General features: G+C 56.0%; 1 protein-coding gene across 3 annotated transcripts in view, besides 4 other annotated features; it reads left to right on the forward strand.

Annotated features, from left to right (window-relative positions):
• FBLN2 (fibulin 2) overlaps nucleotides 1-20,932 on the forward strand; it is an 89,280-nt gene that overhangs the window by 12,241 nt on the left and 56,107 nt on the right. For 2 of the 3 annotated variants that reach the window (NM_001004019.2, NM_001998.3), the window contains exon 2: nucleotides 8,950-10,296. In NM_001004019.2, coding sequence (NP_001004019.1) covers nucleotides 8,991-10,296 — 1,306 coding nt within the window. In that variant the 5' untranslated portion in view covers nucleotides 8,950-8,990. Of the gene's footprint in view, nucleotides 1-7,374; nucleotides 7,716-8,949; nucleotides 10,297-20,932 lie in introns of those variants that run through there. The other variant, NM_001165035.2, reaches the window with a different exon arrangement.
• Nucleotides 7,540-8,499: an enhancer, noted in NCBI's record as "H3K4me1 hESC enhancer chr3:13610405-13611364 (GRCh37/hg19 assembly coordinates)". NCBI's record gives its function as "activates a minimal SCP1, AML or CMV promoter by ChIP-STARR-seq in primed H9 embryonic stem cells {active_cell/tissue: H9 hESC(primed)}" and the evidence as "EXISTENCE:reporter gene assay evidence [ECO:0000049][PMID:30033119]".
• Nucleotides 10,104-10,820: an enhancer, noted in NCBI's record as "H3K4me1 hESC enhancer chr3:13612969-13613685 (GRCh37/hg19 assembly coordinates)". NCBI's record gives its function as "activates a minimal SCP1, AML or CMV promoter by ChIP-STARR-seq in primed H9 embryonic stem cells {active_cell/tissue: H9 hESC(primed)}" and the evidence as "EXISTENCE:reporter gene assay evidence [ECO:0000049][PMID:30033119]".
• Nucleotides 15,466-16,219: an enhancer, noted in NCBI's record as "H3K4me1 hESC enhancer chr3:13618331-13619084 (GRCh37/hg19 assembly coordinates)". NCBI's record gives its function as "activates a minimal SCP1, AML or CMV promoter by ChIP-STARR-seq in primed H9 embryonic stem cells {active_cell/tissue: H9 hESC(primed)}" and the evidence as "EXISTENCE:reporter gene assay evidence [ECO:0000049][PMID:30033119]".
• Nucleotides 16,220-16,973: an enhancer, noted in NCBI's record as "H3K4me1 hESC enhancer chr3:13619085-13619838 (GRCh37/hg19 assembly coordinates)". NCBI's record gives its function as "activates a minimal SCP1, AML or CMV promoter by ChIP-STARR-seq in primed H9 embryonic stem cells {active_cell/tissue: H9 hESC(primed)}" and the evidence as "EXISTENCE:reporter gene assay evidence [ECO:0000049][PMID:30033119]".

Here is a 20,932-nt window from a genome sequence, read left to right on the forward strand (position 1 = left end):
CAGTGACTGACTGATCGCCCTCTCCTTGGCATCTCTTCTTCCTTGATGTGTGTCCCCACCCCCCCGCCACCTCTATCATTTTTCTTTGTGCTGCTCACTTCCCAGCGACCACTCTCTTCCTCCTTCCCTGCATGCCGGCTGCAGTGTGTCAGGCTGGTTTCTGCCTCAGGGCTTTTGCACATACTGTTAGTGCTGCTTAGGATACCATTCCCCAGATCTTTGCATGGCCACCACATTTTTGCATGATATCAGCAAGTAGGTTGCCTCCTAGGCCTCCTCGTCTGACCATTCTTGCCAAAGGAGCATGCGGTCTGTCTCTGTCACAACGCCCTTATCTCTTCCCCCCATCAGAACATTGGCTGCATGCGGGTAGGACTTTCTTTCATCTTGTTCGCTGCCATATCCCAGCACCTGCAGTGGGCTGGCCGGTAGCAACTGTTTGATGAATAGCTGCAAACTAAAGGACTCTAGCTCAACTTTCTCGGCCAGACAGACCTGTTCAAATCCCCACACCTTTTACTACTTATGTGGCCTTGGACAGATCATTTACTCTGTCTGGGCCTCAGTTTCCTCATTTGTAGGTATTAAATGGTTAAGGAAAATAAATATCCCTGGAAACTCACAGTCCAGTGATTGGCATTGTGTTGGCACTGAGGAAGTGATAGTTAGACACGAACTTGATTAACAGCTAAAATCCCTACTTGATGCTTTGTGCCAAGAGCAAGTTTATTTTTCCCAGTGAACTAGATGACTTCCTCTTATCAGAGAAGGAGCACCGGGTCACCCTCTAATTTCCCTTTTGGCTTTGGCTGCCAGGAAGCATACTGCTAAGGGGAGGTCTCAGGAGCAGCCCTTATTTCCTGTCCATCTTCAGTGCAGTTCTTCTTCCCTTTCTTCTCCCTGTTCTTTGGTTATTTACGTTTGGCTCTACAGTGCACATTTGTGATTATTGTCCTTTATTTTGGTAAAATATACGTAACATGAAGTTTACTTTTTTTTTTTTTTTTTTGTGACGGAGTCTTGCCGTGTCGCCCAGGCTGGAGTGCAGTGGAGCGATCTTGGCTCACTGCAACCTCCACCTCCTGGGTTCAAGCAATTCTCGTGCCTCAGCCTCCCAAGTAGCTGGGATTATAGGTATATGCCACCACACCTGGCAAATTTTTGTATTTTTAATAGAGATGGCGTTTCACCATGTTGGCCAGGATGGCCTCTATCTCCTGACCTCATGATCCACCCGCCTTGGCCTCCCAAAGTGCTGCTGTTGCAGGCCGCGCCCGGCTGCGATTTACCATTTTAACCTGCTTGAGTGCACAGCTCAGTGGCATCATGGAAGTTCACGTTGTGCAGCCGTTACCACTATCTATTTCCAGAACTTTTTCATTATCCTGAACAGAAACTGTGTCCCCATTAAGCAGGAACTCCTCCTGCTTCCCACCTCCAGCCCCTGCACCCACCATTCTACTTTCTGTCTCTGAATTTGATGACTGTAGATATCTCATAGAAGTGGAATCACACAGGATTTGTCCTTTGGTGTCTGGCTTATTCACCTAGCACAGCGTCCTCAGGGTTCATCTGTGTTGCAGCACGGGTCAGAATGCCCCTCCTTTCAAGGCTGATAATGTTGCATTGTATGGAATATTTTGTTTATCCATCCATCCATTGATGGTCACTTGGCTTGATCCGTGTGACTCGAGTCTATCATGAATAACACTGTAGTGAACTTGGATGCGCAAATATTATTTTTAAAAAATTACTTTCTGGGCCTCAGGTGGTCTCAGGCCCACTAATAAATTAAGGGTAGATTTTTGGACAGTTTCTAGGATCAGGCTGTCTTCCCTGCCTCTGCCTGGTGTGTGGCTGTGTGTCTGTGCTCAGTAAACTCCATGGCCACTGTGGGTGCCCACCCAGGTCTCTCACCTGGAGGTGCACATGTCTCCCAGCGGCCACAGGTGCTGGCTGCTGATGGCTCACACCTGTGCCTTCTCCAGCTGCCTGCCCTTTGCTGGCAGGTGTCACTTCCCCGTGAAGTGCCTGGGAGGTCACTCTCCATGGTCTTTGGCCAGTGACTGACATGCCTCTGAGTGGGATGCACCCGGGGTGCCCCCCACACTGCATGGCTTCTCGTGGGTCACTGGACTCCAGCTGAGATGCAGTCTTGCCCAGCTCCCCCTGGCTCTGCCTGCTTTCCTTTGCCCTTCTCCTGAGCGCTCTCCCCCGACAGACCATGCCCTCAAGCGTCCCTGCCTCGGACTCTGCTTCTGGGGAGCCCCGTCTAAGACAGTGCGCAGCTCACATATCCCTCTGAGCACTATGGGTCTTGCATTACTGTGGGCGTTGGGTTGGATTCTGATGCAGCTGACCTACTGAGGCCAACTACACCATGTGGCTAGAGGTGGTCTCCTTGGAAGAGGGTGAGAACTCCCAGCATCTATCACATATAGAAGAGGCAGGTCCTAACCCAGGAAACCAAGCTATTCTGGAGGCGACCCTGGGGCGGGGTGGTTGGAGGGGCAGGAGCTCCCACCTCATCCAGGCCTCTCTCCTCCTGGTGTGGACAAGAGACGCTCAGGCCTTGGAGTGTTCAGGCTGGTAGAGATGACTCAGGAAGCCCAACGATGCCAATGGGAAGGGAGTGTGCATCCAAATTAGCCCAGGGAAGCCCTGTTGCTGGGCCCCACAGCTTCAGTGTCAAGTGTCCTGACATTAAATGTTATCATTTTAAACTAATTATCAATGAGTAATATTGGCAGCTAATTTATAAAGCACCATGTGGGCCCCACAAACACATCTGTGTGTGAACAGGCTGGGTGGCTGGTTTGTGCCTGCTCTCTGCTTGGACTTGGGCCCGGGGGCAGCCGTGTGGGCACAGCCAGCGGGCCAGGTGGTACTGATTATGGGTTTCTTTGTCACTGTCTTGTCTGTGAGTGTCTTGTGTGTTTATTTCCCTGCTGCCATCCCTAGCAGTCCCAGTTTGCAAGTCCCAGTGTTTTGATATAGCTGCTTATTATTTTTTTAAAAGAGATCCCCTGCAAATATTTAAAAAATTTTAAAGCCATACTGGCGCCAACCTGAGACTTTGTTCTTATCTACAGTTGCCTCATCAAATGGAGGTTGCCCAGTTAAGTTGGAATTTCAGATAAGTGACAGATGTGTGCCAAATACTGTACAGGACATCCTTAAATGCTAGACAGTTCTCCATCATTTCTCTGAGATGCCTGTGCACATCCCAGATCTGTATTTGCTGGATCTCATCAGAGCCAGAAGGGTCAGAACTGGAGGTGGGAAGACCTTTCCTTCCTGATCCAGTGTCATATCCTGTGGCCTGTGTGCTCACTAAGGTGGGACCCCCCCACCTTTCCACAGTGGCAGCACTGGGGATGTCCCCCCAGGTGGCCTTGACCTTCCAGTGTCCTCGCCAGCCCAGAGAGGTTTCATCTGGGGCCTGCTGTGGATGAATGTGAAGGTTAATTTATCAAAGGAGGCAGTGTTGCTTTACTATAGGATGCGTGTTTGTTTTTGTGGTAGGTTGGGGCCCAGCCCTATCAGGACAGCAGAGCGAGGAGCTTGTGGCCAGGTGAGAGAGGCAGCTGGGGCCTGAGCCACATCCTGAGGCACTTCTGACTCTGATGTGCCGGAGCCCTCCCTCCCCATCCTGCCTGCCCCAGGTGCCTTGTGAGGAGTGGGCAGGTCTCTAGGAGACTCACACTGTGTGCTGAGTCACCTGTCCCTGCTGGACACTCCCTGGGGAGACCCTGGCTGAATGTCTCTCCGCCCCCACATTGCCCTGTGCACGTTCAAGTGATGGCCCTGAGTACGTAACCCCAGGTGTGAACCCTGCTGCCACTTTAGAATACCCTGGTCCCCCCACCCACAGCAGGGATTTGATCAACAAAGACCAAAGCTGTGATAGCCCCACCTGCCGCTGGTCCTGTCTGGAGCCTGCTCTTGTGTCTCCACTCCGGTGGCAAAGCCTTGCTCACAGTGCTGGATGCACTCCCAGATGCTAAGTGCTGAGTGCCACTTCATGGTGGCTTGACGTCCTCATTGTCACCTAAATGTCCATTGTCATTTTGGCTCTTCCTGTGAAGAATGGGCCGCCAAATACAGAGGAATGGCTAGGCGCAGAGGCTCACGCTTGTGATCCCAGCACTTTGGGAGGCCGAGACAGGGTGATTGCTTGAGGCTAGGAGTTTGAGACCAGTCTGGGCAGCAGAGCAAGATCCTGTCTCCTGCCTATTTTTTAATGCCGTGATATATGTTACGCACATGATACGTAAAGCGTTCATCTTTTAAAAATGCCAGCAGTTGCCAACCCTCACCCCTCCTAGGGTTGCAGCCTGAGGCCAGCCTGGACAGTGACTGGCCCGGTGGCCTCCACCTGCCAACCTTTCCTGTCCCCAGATGGCAGCCCGGTGACCACCAGGGGCCATATGGACCTGGTACAGACGTCTCTGAGTCGCACACTGGGCGTCAGAAGCACAGGGTCATGGAGTGCATGTGCTGAATTCTCACATGGGTACTGCCTTGCAAAGAGGCTGCTCCAGGTGACACTTCGGCCAGTGGCATAAGAATGATAATAATACCACTATCCTAGTGTTTGCCTTCCTGATGGGTGCAAGGGAGAGGCTGCAGTGGTTTTACTTTGTATCTTGTTGTTTCTTGCGTCCCCACCCGGGAGGGCTGGCTTGGTGCAGTGTGACTGCCTGGCTGGCCACCGCAGCCAGTCCCAGGGGCTTTGTTTGCTGGCCAGGCTCTGACTGCTGGGACTGTCCCCCCGCAGGGAGGTCAGGCCTCCTTCCCCACCCCATCTCCAGGGGCTTCTTTTTTCAGGTTGCTGAGGGGTGGGAGCTGTCTGCAGAAGCCGGGGTTGTGGGAAAACTCAGCTGGAGCTCCCAGGAGGGGCATGTTTGATTCTGTGACCCTGCAGTGTAGAGACTGTGCCCTCCTGCTTCTCTCTTGTACGAGTGTCCCCAGCCCTGCTTGCTTATCTCTGGCGATAGATAGGGAGCTCACTCCTTCCCAGCAGCCTGGTCAGTCCCTGCCCTGGAGGGAGTGTTCTCCACTTGGAGCTGACATCTGCCATCTCCTCCATGCCCCCACCTCCCGCCCCACACATACACGCCCCATTGGGAGCAGCTGTGGAGATGTGAGGACAGTGAGGTCTGCTATTCTCCCAGGTGAGCCACCCCAAGGGGCCTGGGCCCCCTCACCACGTGGGCCACTCCCTCTCGACACATCCCAGATGGTCCTTTCCCCTCCTGAGTGGACATACAACCATCAGACAGCACCAGGATACTCTGAGCTGCATGCATTTGGGGGGGCCCAGACGACTTGGGGAACCTGGGAGCTCACACCCCATGTGACATCTCAGGGTGGCCAGAGCTCTGTGGCTTGAAACAGGAGTTGGAAACCTGAATTTTTATGTGAACGTTTTCAATTTATGCATGCTGGTAACCAATTTAAAATGAGAAACCCACTGTGTGAGCCAAACGAAAGCACTTATGGGCCAGATAATGCTGGTGGGCCCCCGACTATGACCTGAGGTATGGTGGAACACGTTCACTGGGTGGATGCAGAACCAGGGCTCAGAGAGGGCCAGGGCCGTGCCTGGGGTTGCGCAGCAAATGTGGAAAATGCAGAGTCAGGCTTGGGCCTGATGTTCTTTATCATTGCCCTGGGCCTGGAGTGGGGAGATGGGCAAGCCTGAGGTTTGGGATTGCTTAAGCATGGACAGAATGTGATGCTGGGGGCCTGGGGGGCCAAGGGGCCAGGTCACCCTGGGGGCTGTGCCGGTGAGCAGAGCAAGGGGATGGACTTGGTGGACCGGGTGGTGGGGCAGGGTGGGCTGGGAAGGAAGTTCTTCTGGAAGAAGTTCTAGGACAGCCCTGTGTCCTGTGGCTGGGGTACTGTCCTCTCAGGACACAACGTTCATGCCTAGGTGTGTGATGCACCTGAAGGCAGGAGGGCAGGGAGCTTGGGTCTCAGTTCACCAAAGATTTCCTTTTGTTTTGAGACGGGGTCTCCCTCTGTTCCCCAGGATGGAGTGCAGTGGCACGATCTCGGCTCACTCCAACCTCCGCCTCCGGGGTTCAAGCAGTTCTCCTGCCTCATCCTCCTGAGTTGCTGGGATTACAGGCACACGCCATCATGCCTGGCTAATTTTTGTATTTCTGGTAGAGACAGGGTTTCACCACGTTGGCCAGGCTGGTCTCGAACTCCTGACCTCAAGTGATCCGCCTGTCTTGGCCTCCCAAAGTGCTGGGATTACAGGCGTGAGCCACCTCGCCTGGCCAAAGATTTCCTTTCTTAAAAGACACTGTCAGCTGGCACGGTGGCTCATGCCTGTAATCCCAGCACTGTAGGAGGCTGAGGCAGGAGGGTCGCTTGAGGTCAAGAGTTCAAGACCAATCTGGGCAACACAGTGAGACCCTTGTTAAAAAAAATTAGCTGGGTGTAGTGGTGTGTGCCTGTAGTTCCACCTACTCAGAAGGCTGAGGTGGGAAGATCGCTTGAGCTCGGGAGGTTGAGGCTGCGATGAGCTATGATCACACAACTGTGCTCTAGCCTGGACAACAGAGTGAGACCCTGTCTCTAAAAACAAACAGAAAGAACTGTTGAGAGTGGACCTGAGGGCCTCTCCCTTGCAGTCTGGAGGGTCCTTGCTTTTGCTGACTGGGAGTAAAGGCCCTGATTCTCCCAGGGGCCCATTCCTAATGTCAGTGGCTTTACGGAGTCCTCCAGCTTCCTGAGGTGGCACCTCAGTGTGAGGGCAGGGGCGTCAGCCCTCGAGGCCCCAGAGGCTCCCTAGCACTCCGCCGGCCCTGAGCCTGGTCTGGGCATGGGCTTCCATCTCCCTGCCCGTCCATGGCCCTCCACCGCAGCCTTCCCTGCCTCGGTCACACAACTCCCCCTTCCAGGCGCTCCTGGACTTCTGTCTTCTGTCCGCTGCATCCTATCCATCAGCAAATCCTGTGGGTCCTACCTTCAAAATAGATCCCCTGTGCCACCATCTCCTGCCTCTCTTCGCTCACTGCCCTGGGCTCTCTCACCTGCTCCCTGCTGGCTCCCGTGTCTCAGCGCAGTGGGCAGCTGGGTGGGTCCCTTGCACTGGAGAGTCCCAGGCTCCAGCGCTTACAGGCACGCCCAGAGGCCCTCACAGCAGGCTGGAAGCCCGTTGCTCTGCAGTTACCACCCGTGTGCTGATGTGGCTCAGCCCTGGGGGCCCTCTCTGTCCTTCACCTTTCTGCTGCTGGTCCGGCCTCAGCCCCTTGGCCCTGCCACTCCCTGCCTGACGCCCTCCTCAGAGAAGCCCTCCTCTTCCGCCGGACTGACACGGGCTCCCCTGACACTGCCACGTCCTCCTTCCGTCTCCTTGATTCCCTTCATTTATTTCATCATGGGGCTCATGCCTGCCTGGCGTTCAGTTCTCTACAGATTTGCTCTTGGGTTTATTATCTGCCCCTCCACCCCTGAGGGTGTCAGTGCTGTGAGGACGCTGGGAACCTGTCTTGCTGGCTGATAAACCCCTGGTTCCTAGAGGGGCTGGGTGCAGAGGAGGCGTTCCTTTAGAAATGGGGCAGGCTTGGGGACCACTGCTGTGGTAACGAGTCCTGCTGTCCCTCTGTCACTGCCCTATGGGGCTGCGCTTTAGGCTGGGAGTCGGAGAAGGAGCTCTTGCCTGTGACTTTGGGGAGCACGCTGTCTATAAGAGTCAGGTACGGCCACTGGGTCACAAGTGGGGCTACAGGCACTGGGGACTTGGGCCAGGGTGGAGGAGGGAGGAGGCATGAGGACTGGTGAGAAGGTGGCATTTGAGTGGCTTGTGCAAGATGAGAGGGGAGAAGAGCCCTTGGGGGAGTTCAGGCCTAAGGGCCTGTGGGAGGGTCGGGTTGGGATGGCTCCTGCAGGGCCTTGAGTGCCAGGCTCAGCTGGGAATCCAGACCTTTCCTTTCTGGCCATGGGAAACTGGGGCGGGCTGTGGGGCCGTGGCATGTCGGGGCCAGCTGCTCTCAGGCCAGACTGGGTTCCCTGGGAAAGGGGAGGAGTGGTGGGCAGGGAGGTGGCGGGGCTGTTCCAGTGGAGATCAGAGCTGAGACTGGAGTGGGGACAGGGCCTAGAGATGGAAGGAAGGGGTAGAGACCGTGGGGAGGGAGTGGAGACAGATTGCGGGGAGAATGGACATGACTGGGGGAGTTGGTGGGGTGTTAGGGACAGCAAGGCATCAGGATGCATTTGCCAGTGCTACTGGGGAGGGGGACAGGAGCGTCCCCTGGGGCTAAGCCTGCAGTCCCGAGGGTCTCAGAGGTGTGTTCCTGAGTCCTAGGGTCTGCGGGCTGGGGCTGTAGGGGGCGTCTTGTTCTTGCCTAGCATTTCCCCACTGACTGTATTTTCTGGCCAGCAGCTGTGGTGCGTGGCTGGGGACTGAGTCAAGGATCTGGGGGGAGGGATTGGTCGGGTGTGTGCGTGGGACTGTGCGTGTGAGACCGCCCAGGGTGTGTACTGGCACGTGGGCATGCTGTGGGTGAGACAGCGTGTGTAACTGCATAGAGGATTATGGGGCATATTGCCTGACGTGCCCTGGTGAGTGTGACCGAGTGGGTGTGGGGCTGTGCATGTGTGTGTGTGGGCACGAGGGCTCACTCAGAGGACCTGCCTCAGAATGCAGGTGAGGATGGAGGATGGAGTGGCCCAGCAAACACGTGTGGGGCTGTCAGCGACTCCAGGTCAACACCTGTGGCGCCCAGCGACTAGACACTCACCTGTGTGTGATCTGACCCATGTGTGGCGGAGCCTGTGTGTGTGTGTGAGGCAGTGCTTAGTGTGCTCCTGGGGATGAGCGCATGCGTGTGAGGTGGCTGAGGCTGGGCCCCTGCCCGCGTGCGTGCCGGTGTGCACCGTGTCTGTGTGTGCACACCCAGTACTGACAGGCTTCCTTTCTGATTCCCCCAGGGTCTTACAGGAGAGGGGACCGTCCTGGGCTGGCCTGGACCATGGTGCTGCTCTGGGAGCCTGCAGGAGCCTGGCTTGCTCTGGGCCTGGCCCTGGCCCTGGGCCCCAGCGTGGCCGCAGCTGCCCCTCGGCAGGACTGCACGGGCGTGGAGTGCCCGCCGCTGGAGAACTGCATTGAGGAGGCGCTGGAGCCGGGTGCCTGCTGTGCCACGTGTGTGCAGCAGGGCTGCGCCTGCGAGGGCTACCAGTACTATGACTGCCTACAGGGTGGCTTCGTGCGCGGCCGCGTGCCCGCCGGTCAGTCCTATTTTGTGGACTTCGGGAGCACTGAGTGCTCCTGCCCACCAGGCGGCGGCAAGATCAGCTGCCAGTTCATGCTGTGCCCGGAGCTGCCGCCCAACTGCATCGAGGCTGTAGTGGTGGCTGACAGCTGCCCACAGTGCGGCCAGGTGGGCTGCGTCCACGCGGGCCACAAGTACGCCGCTGGCCACACTGTTCACCTGCCGCCCTGCCGGGCCTGCCACTGCCCTGACGCCGGTGGAGAGCTCATCTGCTACCAGCTCCCCGGTTGCCACGGGAACTTCTCAGATGCCGAGGAGGGTGACCCCGAGCGACACTACGAAGACCCCTACAGCTATGACCAGGAGGTGGCCGAGGTGGAAGCAGCAACAGCCCTGGGGGGTGAGGTCCAGGCGGGTGCAGTCCAGGCAGGCGCAGGGGGCCCCCCAGCTGCTCTGGGAGGTGGGAGTCAGCCACTGTCCACCATCCAGGCACCCCCCTGGCCAGCTGTCCTCCCCAGGCCCACAGCGGCTGCTGCCCTGGGTCCCCCAGCCCCAGTGCAGGCCAAAGCTAGGAGAGTGACCGAGGACAGTGAGGAGGAAGAAGAGGAGGAGGAGGAGAGAGAGGAAATGGCTGTCACTGAGCAGCTGGCAGCAGGTGGCCACAGGGGGCTGGATGGGCTGCCCACTACAGCCCCAGCTGGACCCAGTCTTCCTATCCAGGAGGAGAGGGCAGAAGCTGGGGCAAGGGCAGAAGCTGGGGCAAGGCCTGAAGAGAACCTCATCCTGGATGCCCAAGCCACGTCCCGCAGCACTGGGCCGGAGGGCGTGACGCATGCACCGAGCCTGGGCAAGGCTGCTCTCGTCCCAACTCAGGCCGTGCCTGGCTCTCCCAGGGACCCAGTCAAGCCCAGCCCCCACAACATCCTGTCCACATCACTGCCTGATGCAGCCTGGATCCCACCCACCCGAGAAGTGCCCAGGAAGCCGCAAGTTCTGCCCCATTCCCACGTGGAGGAGGACACAGACCCCAACTCTGTCCATTCTATCCCCAGAAGTAGCCCTGAAGGTAAGACCCTGTCCTGGTTCCTTCAGGGCACTTTGTGTGGGAAGGGCAGCCTTGGGCTCTGGCCGCTGCCCCAGGTCTCTGCCTGGGGCTGGGGATGCTGGACTGTGGGGCCAGGCCTAGGGTGGCCACCCCAGGCCCTTGGTTTGGGCAGGAGGCTGTGAGAGTGCATCTTCTCCCAGGCCCAGCTCTTGGGATGGGATGGGTGGGTGGGAGTGGGGTTCCTGTTGTGGGAGGTGCTGGGCCCCCTGGTAGGGCTGCGGTAGTGGTCAAGGGTCCAGAAGGTGCACATCTTCAGAGCTGGGGGCCCTGAGGAGGGTTCCTGCCTCAGCCCGGTAGGCCCCCACGTGTCCTGGCAGGAAATGCGAAGGGCGGTCTCTTCTCAGCTGCCCCGGTGGCTGGCCTGTGGCCTAGGAGCCTAGCATGGCCACCTCTGCCAATTTTTCAACAAATGTCAGCCAGAAAGCTGAATTTTATGTGACATCTTCCCATTTCTAAGTGTCTGCAGCAAATCCTAATCTCACAAGCATGTGTTGTAGAAAGAAGTGAACTCGTGGACAGAGGCGAGGTGGGTGGGCCATTTGAGCAGGGGCGCTGGCCATGCTGGGCCAGTGGAGGTGGTGGGGCCACACCAGCTGTACCCTCACTCCATGGAGGCCCCTCTCCGAGCTGGTCAGGCAGCTTCCCATCAGTCCTTCCAGCAGCACCGAGTGCTTACTACTATGTACGCTGTTTCACCAGTGAGGCAACTGGGGCTCGAGGGTGGTGCTGGAGGCTCAGGTCACACAACCAGTGAGCAGTGGGCCTGGAAGGCCCTGGAGCCTGCACTCCTGACCCTATATCCTCCAAGCCACCTGCCACAGAGTTCAATACACTCCATCGGGCACATCAGAGCAGGCAGCCAGGACCAGGGCACCCAGGCTTCAGATAGGGACCGGCCCAAGGCTGTGCAGAGGCTGGTAGGCGGCCCAGGCCTCTTCTTGCCCATCCATGCCTGCTCCCAGCAGGTCCTCCATAGCCCAGCACAGTCAGACACCCCATTTGAAGACCCCATGAGCTGTGGCGAGAAGGGGAATGGTCCGCTGAGCCTACCTAAGAGCCGTCCTCAAAGGGCGCTGCTGCTAAGCAGGGGCCACAGCCCCCACGAGGCTGACCCCTTCCTGCTTACTTTAGGAGCCTTGAACTCCTGCAGGGGGTGATTCTGTCACAAGAGCTGGGGGCTTGCAGATCCAGAAGCCTGGTCTAGCTTCCATGGGGACCTGGGGTGATGCTCCTAAGACCCCACGCAGGTTTGAAACCCCCGTGGGCCAACACTGGAGAGGAGAGGCTTCAGGAGTCCTCTAGCAAACAGGTTAATCTGGGTGGATAACCCTGTGCTGCCACAGCCTAGGGAATCTGGGGGCCTCACAGACCCACAGACATTGGAAAGGCCCAGAGCTCCGTCAGTGTGAGAGGGGACAGCCCCGCACCTGGGGGGAGCGCCTCAAACACAAATCAGATCATGCCACCTTCTGCCCTATATGGCTCCCTCCGGCCGGCCCCTCCCCAGCCTCTTCTCACACCAGTCAGAGCTTCCTTTCAATCAAGTTCAATTCCCTCTGGCTAAGGGGCCTTTGCACGTGCTGTTTCCCCCGCCTGGAGCACCCCCTTCTCACCACTGCCCACTTATCACCTCATCCTCTACATTGCAGCTCAAGTGGAAGCTCAAGACTCCCTGCAGGGAGCCTTCCCTGACCCCCAGGAGGAGTCAGATCCCCTGAGTGAGGCTCACCACTTCACTCCTCAGCTCGTATCACTGCTCAGAACATCACACCTCTGTGACTGCTGGGGTCTCTATCTCCTCCTCAAAGCCCCAAGCTCCCCAAGGTCAGGGTCTCTGCTGGGTTTTGTGAACCCTGTACATTCAGCATCTTACCGGCTCCTGTGCACATGCTGGGCACTCAGAAGCCACTGTCAGAGGGTGGGCCGGGCGTGGTGGCTCACGCCTGTAATCCCAGCACTTTGGGAGGCCAAGGTGGGTGGGTCACCAGAGGTCAGGAGTTCGAGACCAGCCTGGCCAACGTGGTGAAACCTCAAATCTACTAAAAATACAAAATTAGTCTGGCGTGGTGGCAGGCGCCCGTAATCCCAGCTACTTGGGCGGCTGAGGCAGGAGAATCACCACCTGGGAGGCAGAGGTTGCAGTGAGCCAAGATTGTGCCATTGCACTCCAGCCTGGGCGACAAGAGTGAAACTCAAAAAAAAAAAAAAAAAAAAAAGGGAACCACTGTGAGAGGTTGAAGAGCTGAAGAAGGCAGAAGAGAAGCCTGCTTCCACCACTTTCTGCCCCTGTGTCCACAGGCGGTGGCCTGAGCTCCCTGTAGCCCACTCTCCACTCCTGTAAACTAAGAGGGCTGTTGTGAGGACTACGCGGCTCAGCAATCACAGAGCGCCGAGCACGGTGCCTAACAGAGTCACCGTGTTGAGGGGCGTCTGCAGTGGACAGCAGCAGTCATTTGAGTTTTAGGGTTTCCCTGTTAGCCAGAGCATCACAGCATTCAGATACTCCTGCCCTGCAGAACCTGCGTGTGTGAGGCCCTGAGGAAGGGGCCCCTTTCCTGCCATGCATTCCTGGGGCCACAGGCTGTGCTGAGAGGCCTTCTGCAGGTCAGGGGCTGCCCCCAGCTGCTCTGGGAACCTCCGACCTCCTGAGGGCCGCCCTGCCCGAGGGTTCCTCCGTGTGGCCCTCCATTGTGCCAGCCCTGCGGGAAAAGCCGCCCTCACGAAGCCCCTTGAGTGACAACAGACGTCAGACCCCTTCTTCCCAGCCCAGGGAGCCGGGCATGTGGCTTCCATTAGGCCACATCTGGACATGCTCAGAGGCAGGGATGGCCTGGCCGAGGCAGTCTGGATCCCTGGCAGGGCTCCAGCTCAAAGACAGGACCCCCAGCCCAGCCAGGCCTGGGGCACTGGCTGGAAACCCCTTCTCTAGGCCCCAGGGCTGCCATGGCAACGCGGCTGGAGGGGTCACTTCTGGCCCCATTACCTCCCTTTCTGCAGGGCCCAGGGCTGAGCAGGGCAAAGCCACCTCCCCAGCTTCTCCTCACCAAGGGCTGCTCCATCATCTAGATCCCCCAAGGCCTCCCCCAACAACAGCAGCCAGGGGCGCTAGGGTCCAAACCCCACTTCCCCCAAGAGGCTCAGTTGGGCAGCCCGATCCCCCACCCGCTGGGCTTCCATCTCCCACCCCTCCCATGCTGCGTGCACATGGCCGTGACCAGGGATAAACCTGCCTGTGTACATCCCTGTAACGCCCTCCTCCCCCATTAGACTCTAAACGAGGGCGAGGTTGCGTCTGCCTTGCTCACTGTCGCAGCCTTGGCTCAGTGAGGGTGCTCTGTGAGTATCTGTTGAAGATATCAGCGGGTGGGCTGAGGACAGACGGTGACTAATCATCGTCGCATTTCTAATTGCTCAGCAAGTCCTCAGCTGAGTGTTGGACACAAATTAGCTCATTTAATCCTCAAAGCAGCCCCATGATGCAGGGACTTCCCTGCTGCTTACAGGTGGAAAAACTGAGGCACAAAACCATAAGCCGCATGCTCAGATTCTGTGGGTTGAGCCAGAGCCCATGAATTCGTGATGACAAGTGGGCCATGGGTGGGCAGAAGGGTGAGAGTTGGGGTGCGGCTGTGGATGTTTATCTGGCCAGGCCTGAGCTTCTGGGTCCCCTTTGAATTCATCCTCTACCCCTGGGTCCTTAAACCTTCCATTCCCTGCACACCAAACGCTGCAGCTGCCTGTCCCTGCCCTAACTCTGGTCTCTGGGCCTTTGCGTTTGCTGGGTCCCCTGCCAGATCAGCCGTCAGACAAGATAAGGGGGACTCAGTTGGGGGCCTAACAGCCAGCAGTCCTCATCAAAGCCCACACCTAAAAAATCTATTTGAGAAAGCTCAGGGCAGAGGGGAAAACTGGGGCTCCTGATAACAAAGCTGCTCTCTAGGATCCCACAGCCCAGACCACAGAGAGGCCTCGGGCATCAAGAGGCAGGACTGGGGGCCAGGGGTGGGGCTGCTTCTATTTCAGAAACCCTGGAAGCTGCACTGCATGCACCACGCTTCTGAGCCTGGCTGCATGCCCTCCCTGGCACACGTGCACTTCATTACACACTCCACCCACAACATGCATGTTCCGCTCCTCCCCCATCCCAGCCCACCACCTCCCACCACCAGGTCCCGCCTGTGACCTGGTGCTGCTAGCCACACCTCTTGGACTGTGCTCTGCTGAGAATAGGGAGATGGAGCCTACCTCCCCAGCTTGTTGGGAGGATCATATCACAGAAACAAGAGCCGGGCACCCAGGAGGTGCTCGGCAAGGGCGAGTTCTGTGCCCTGCCCACCGTAAGCAGGCTGGAAGCAGAGTTGGCAGGGGTGGCAGCCGGTAGGCCTGGAGGAACCCACAGAGACCCCAGTTTCACCCTCATTGCATGTGCATGGGCTTTGCACATGGTCCATGCCCAGCAAGTGCTGTGGGAGGACTTGGGAGATGGGAAAACAGGATCCAAGCTGGTTAAGAGCCTTGCCCAAGGCCACAGCTATGGGCAGCAGAATGAGTAGATGGGAACACTGCTGACACTGCAGAGCCCCTCATGCCCCCTCCTTCAGGAAGCCTTCCCAGATATCACACAGGCCTCTCTTCCTCACAGCCCCCAGTCTGTGAACCAAGTCCATACTGGTTCATCTCTGCCTTCCCAGGGATGCCAGGACATGCTCAGAGCTGACACCTGATGAAGGCTGTAGAGTAAATGATATGGGATTGAACAAGACACAGGCATCCAACTGTGGGGACAGATCTCTAGAAACCTCAGAAGGGAGACAGGAAGAAAGTAGAGCTGGAGCTGGGGGAGGGGGATGAGTGAAGGCACAAAGATTCAGGAAGGCTTCCCAGGGGAGGTGCTATCTGAGCTGGCCAGGAACAGTGTAAGCAAATGCTTGGAACAGAGGGGAGAGAGGTCGGAATGCTCAGGATGGCAGGAGAACTAGGGTGAGGAGGAATTACTGAGAGAAGGGGTGGTCAGGGGGATCCCCCCCCCCCGGGTTCACTCATTTATCCACCCAGTATTTATAGCGCTCCAACTGTGTGCAGGCCCTGCTAGAGGCCCTTGGGCTCTGCAGAGAATATGAGAGGTATGGTCCCCACCCTCACCTCACAGTGCTGACATTCTGTTGGGGAAGAAAACAGTAAACAAGTCCATGGGAATTATCTGCTGTAATGTCAGGTATTGCTAAGAGAAATTAAAGCAAGGTGAGGTGGCTCACACCTGTAATCCCAGCACTTTGGGAGGCCGAGGTGGGTGGATGGATCACCTGAGGTCAGGAGTTCAAGACCATCCTGGCCAACATGGTGAAACCCCTGTCTCTACTAAAAATACAAAAATTAGCTGGGTGTGGTGGTAGGCACCTGTAATCCCAGCTACTCAGGAGGCTGAGGCAGGAGAATCGCTTGAACCCGGGAGGCAGAGGTTGCAGTGAGCCGAGATTGCGCCACCGCACTCCAGCCTGGGTGACAGAGCCAGACTCCGTCTCAAAAAAAAAAAAAAAAAAAGCACAGTGAGAGGAAGGGTGGATGGACAGGGGAGTCCTCCCTGGGGCGGTGACCCGAGCAGAGAGCTGAAAGGGGAGGAGCGAGCCACGCGTGCACCTGAAAGAGGGAGCGGCGAGTGCAAAGGCCCCAGGGCAGGAAGGTGCCTGGACAGGAGGCCAGTGGAGCCGAGATAAGTGGGGGAGAGGGAGGGGGATAGGAGATCTGGGAGGTCACTGGGGCAGGCTGTCCAGGGCCTGTGGCCACCATGAGGACTTTGGCTTCTACTCTGAGGTGAGAGCTACAGCAGGGTGTTGAACAAAGGGGTGACACTGGCCAACTTATGTGTTAACAGGATCCCTGGCTAGGAGGAGTGGCAGAGTTGGTACAGGGCCCTCACAAGGAGCTCCCAAAAGGGAACACATCCTCTCTGTTGTCAGTACAGAGACCCAGAGCACAGCTGTGCATAGAGGCTCTGCTGGAGAGAATGGGAGCAGGTGGCTGCCCCAGGTCCACAGAGCTCCGTGGCTGGACAGGTGCCCTGCATTTGCTGCAGTCCCCTCCAGGCCAGCTCCCCAGGTCTCATTGCCACCAGCCCGGGGGCAGCTGGGTTCAGGCCCTCTGCTCAGGGGCATCTGTCAGAAACAGCAAGTTTCACCCTGTGGCAACCTGGAGATACTCTGCATGGACATCCCATTTCATGGAAGAGAAAACTGTCATCTTGGGGCTGTAGCAGGGGGCCCCAGTCTCCCAGTGGAGGAGGAGGGCTTGTGGTTCCCATGGGGGACCTAGAGGTACAAGTGGGTCTGGGTGGCTGGTAGCTGGGTGCTCCCTGTGTTTGCCTGCCTGGGCAAAATGCGTGCATTTCACAGCCGGACCCAACCCATCTTGAGGGTCTGGGGCCAAGGCTAGGCCTGCGGTGGGTTTCTTTAATTTTAAAAACTAACTCTGTTAGTTTATGCAAATAAAACCACTTTATTGAGATATTATTTGCATGTCATAAAGTCCCCACTTTGAGGGAGCAGAATCTAGTGGGTTTTAGTAGATTTGGAGTTGTGCAGACATCCCCAGAATCTAATCTCAGAGCATTGTCATCACTCCAGAAAGACACCCACATCTGTAGCAGTCACTTTCCATTCCCTCTTTCTCCCAGTCCCCGGTAGCCAGGAATCTTCCTTCTGAGTCTATGGATTTGCATATTCTGGATATCCCTGGACTCTCTGGGAATCATGCACTATGTGGTTTCTAGTGTGTGACTCTTTCACTTAGCACGATGTTTTCAGGGTCCATTTCATGTGGTAGCATGTGTCATTAATTCCTTTTCATGGTTGAATAATGTTGTATGAATATACCACATTTCAAAAATCTGTTCATCTGTTGATGGACATTATTCTTCCAGCTTTTCAGTATTATGAGTAATGCAGCTATATATATTCATGTGTAAGTTTATTATATGGACACATGTTTTCATTCATCTTGGGAACATATCTAGGAGTGGCATTGCTGGGCCACATGGTAACTCTGTGTTTAACCCTTAGAAGAACTACCAGCCTGAGGCCGGGTGTGGTGGCTCACGCCTGTAATCCCAGCACTTTGGGAGGCTGAGGCAGACAGATCTCCTGAGGTCGGGAGTTCAAGACCAGCCTGACCAACATGGAGAAACCCCGTTTCTACTAAAAATAAAAAAATTAGCCGGGTGTGGTGGTGCATGCCTATAATCCCAGCTGCTTGGGAGGTTGAGGCAGGAGAATCGCTTGAACCTAGGAGGCGGAGGTTGTGGTGAGCCACGATCACGCCTTTGCACTCCAGCCTGGGCAGCAAGAGTGAAACTCCGTCTCAAAAAAAAGAGAACTATCAGACTGTTTTCCAGAGCGACTGCACCATTTTACATTCCCACCGGCAGTGCACAAGGGTTCCAGTTTCTTCACATCCTCACCAGTTGTTATAGCCATCCTAGTGTGTATGAAATAGCATCTCATCGTGGTTTAGATTGCAATTCCCTGATGACTAATGATGCTGAGCATGTGTTCATGAGATTGCTCTAGAAACTTCTAGAATACGCAAGCACACATCCCATTAGCCTCAAAGTGATGACATCATCACACTGTCATGTAGTCTCCAGAGAAGTCCACTATACACTGCACTGGGGGAGAGTGTATGAAGAAGGCAACCAATGTCCTAATGTTATGACAAACATAATTTTGACCTTATGGATCCCTGAAAGGGTCTTGGAGACCCTATAGGGCCAGGACCACACTTGAGAACCACTGGTCAGTGCAACTACAAGCATGTAGGTGCGTGCACGTATTTTCACAAGCACTAACATAGGACGCACAGCGTTCTGTTCTATGCCTTTTTCAAATAACAATGGATCTTGGAGCTTTTCCCTGTCACTGCATGGAAAGTCCCCTTTCTGTGTTTGATGGCCGTGGTGCCCCACAGCATGCAAACCCCATCTTTGATTTACCGGTTCCCTTACTGATGGATATTCAGGTTGGTTCCAGTCTTTTGCTCTTAAAAAGCGATGCTGCTGTGAGCATCTCTACACCATGCCCCAGTGTGGAATTGTGAGGTCGATGTGTCTGTGCTTTTTTTCTTTGTACGCTGTTCATTGACACATAACCACTAGAACCTGTCAGAAGCACACAACTCAAATGAATTTTCCCAAGTGAACACACCTGTGAAGCTGACCCTCAGCTCATGAGACAAGAGCCGGCCCTAGGAAGCCTCCTTTGTGCCCCTCCTAGGAAACCACCTCTCTTGACTTCTAATGGCAGAGGTTAGTTTTCCTGCTCTTAAACTTTTATAAATGAATGACCGTGCCATTGCGTGTATCGGGAGGGGGTCTTTTTGATTGTTGCATAGTGTTCCGTTGCAGGGATCGACCCTGCCTAGCTTGTTGTTCCCCGGCTGGGGGCATTGGGGTTGTTTCCAGTGGAGGCCATGAGCTTTCTCTGCCAGGCTTCTGGTCCTTATGCCTGTGCATTTCAGTTGAGAGGTGCTGGCTGGCTCAGCTCTAGGAGATATGGATGTAATTTTTTTTTATATGGACGTATTTTTATAGCCCTGGTAGACGTTGTTCACTTGTTCGCCCTGGAGGGTGTACTGGATTTTACTTACACCTGCAGTCATGAGAATGTCTCTTTCCTCGTTCTATTCATGCGACAAATATTTATTGAGTGCCTCTCTCACCATTGCAGGAGCCGGGGAGACAGGGTGAGCAAAACAGACAAGACTGGAGCTGCCAGTCGTGGGGTGGGGATTCACACAGTCAACAAAATGAACATCTGAAATCTGGCACGTTAGATGGTGAAAGTGCTAAAGAGGAAATTAAGCAGGTTCTGGACTTTGCCAGTCTGAGAGGTGGGGAGCAGCCTCTCCTGGTGGTTTTAGTTTGTGTGTGCGTAGCTCTCCACCCACCTCGTCTGATGGTTCCCCAGTGAGTCTCACTGGTCACACTCCCACCAACACTGCTGTGGGGTGGCCTTCCTGCCATTCTCGCTAAACCAATGTTAGTCTTTCCTCCTTGGACACACCTCGGCCATGTATAAATTACCCATTGTCACAGGAATGCAAGTGAGGCAACCACAGCTCCTCCGTAGCGCACACAGTGCACATTTATTATTGCTCCCAAGTCCACGGGCCAGTTGGGCAGTCCTGCTAACCTGGCCAGGCGTGGCTGACACCTGCTGGGCCTGAACGTGTGTCTGTGGTCACCTGGCAGCTCAGCTGGTCCGGGATGGCCTCAGCCAGGATGGCTCATGTCTGTGCCACGTGGTCTCCAGCTGGTTAGCTCTGGCGTGTTCTCATTGTGGAAACAGAGGTCCAAGAGAAAGATTAGAAACACACAGGTGTTTAATTTAGGATCTTGAAGATGGAGAGCACTCCTTCAATGATTAAGATAGACTTGAGATGGAGATTGAGATTTTATTACTTCCTGGGGGATACGTGGTGCACCTGGGGGCCACACACACGCGGGGAAGTCAGGGGCGGCAGGTGGGGGGTGGGGGGGAGGTGTGGGCCTGGGGCACTGGCTTTCACTGGGGTCCAGGATGGGGAACATGAAAGTCCGGTAGTGGTTGGGCACTTTAAAGCAAGCAGGCCTGAGATTTGAAACAAACCAATGCAAAGTCCTTTCCTGGACGGAGGTGTTATTTTGGAATCCTGCTGGCCTGGAGGTCAGGTGTGGGTTTGGGGAAGGAGCTCTCTGGGCTGAAGTAGAGGAAAGACAGCAGGAATTTATCATCTAAGTTAGGTGGCCAATCAGACGTGGAGGCTGAGGTAGTATGCGTGCCGTAAACCTCAACACCCACAGACTCTTGCACCTGGGCTCCGAACTAGCAGGGCCGCTGCTTTTGCCACATTGTGTTGGCAGCCAGTCAAGAGGCCAGCCCAGGGTCAAGGCTCCTGGCCACGAGAGTCACTGCAGAGTCCTGCTGCCATGGTGGGGATTAAGGAGGGGGAGAATGCAGGCGGTCAGTTCAGTGGGTGCCCCCGTGCCTGACCACCAAGCCCCAGACCCCGTGCCAGTGCTTCACGTGCCTCCTCTCATTTAGTTCCCATAGTGACCCTACAGCAAAGGGATTACGAGTCCCTTCCCACCGTGGTGTCAACCTGTGCCTGGCCATGGCCTAGGGCGAGGAAGTGTTGAGCCCAGCTCTGAACCCAGATCTGTTGACATAAAAGGCATCTCTGTGTTTTCTGCTTGGGTCCTGGCACAGGGCTCCCCAGGTTAGAGGCTGGCTCGACCCTTCACTAGCTGTGTGACCTCAGGCAAATTGCTTAACTGTCCTGGGCCTCAAGATTTCTCATCTGTAAAAGGGGCTTACTGTTGGCTTCCTCCCAGAGCTGTGTTCTCAATGGGAAGAAAGCCTGCAGTGGACACCAGGTGCAGGGGAGGCCTGCCACAGAGCAGAGCTCCACTCATGGCTGGCGTCCCGGATGCTGTGGTTCCAAGTCCTGAGGCCCTGCTGAGAGGGTGGCGGCCTTCGAGCCCTGGGCTGCATCCTGTTCACGCACCCAGGCCAAGGCAGCAGATGCGGCTTTCCTGAGGCTGAACCATGCCTAGGAGTCCTTGGCC

The sequence above is a fragment of the Homo sapiens genome, chromosome 3, assembly GCF_000001405.40.
Source record: "Homo sapiens chromosome 3, GRCh38.p14 Primary Assembly".
In the NCBI taxonomy this organism is placed as follows: Eukaryota; Metazoa; Chordata; class Mammalia; order Primates; family Hominidae; genus Homo; species Homo sapiens.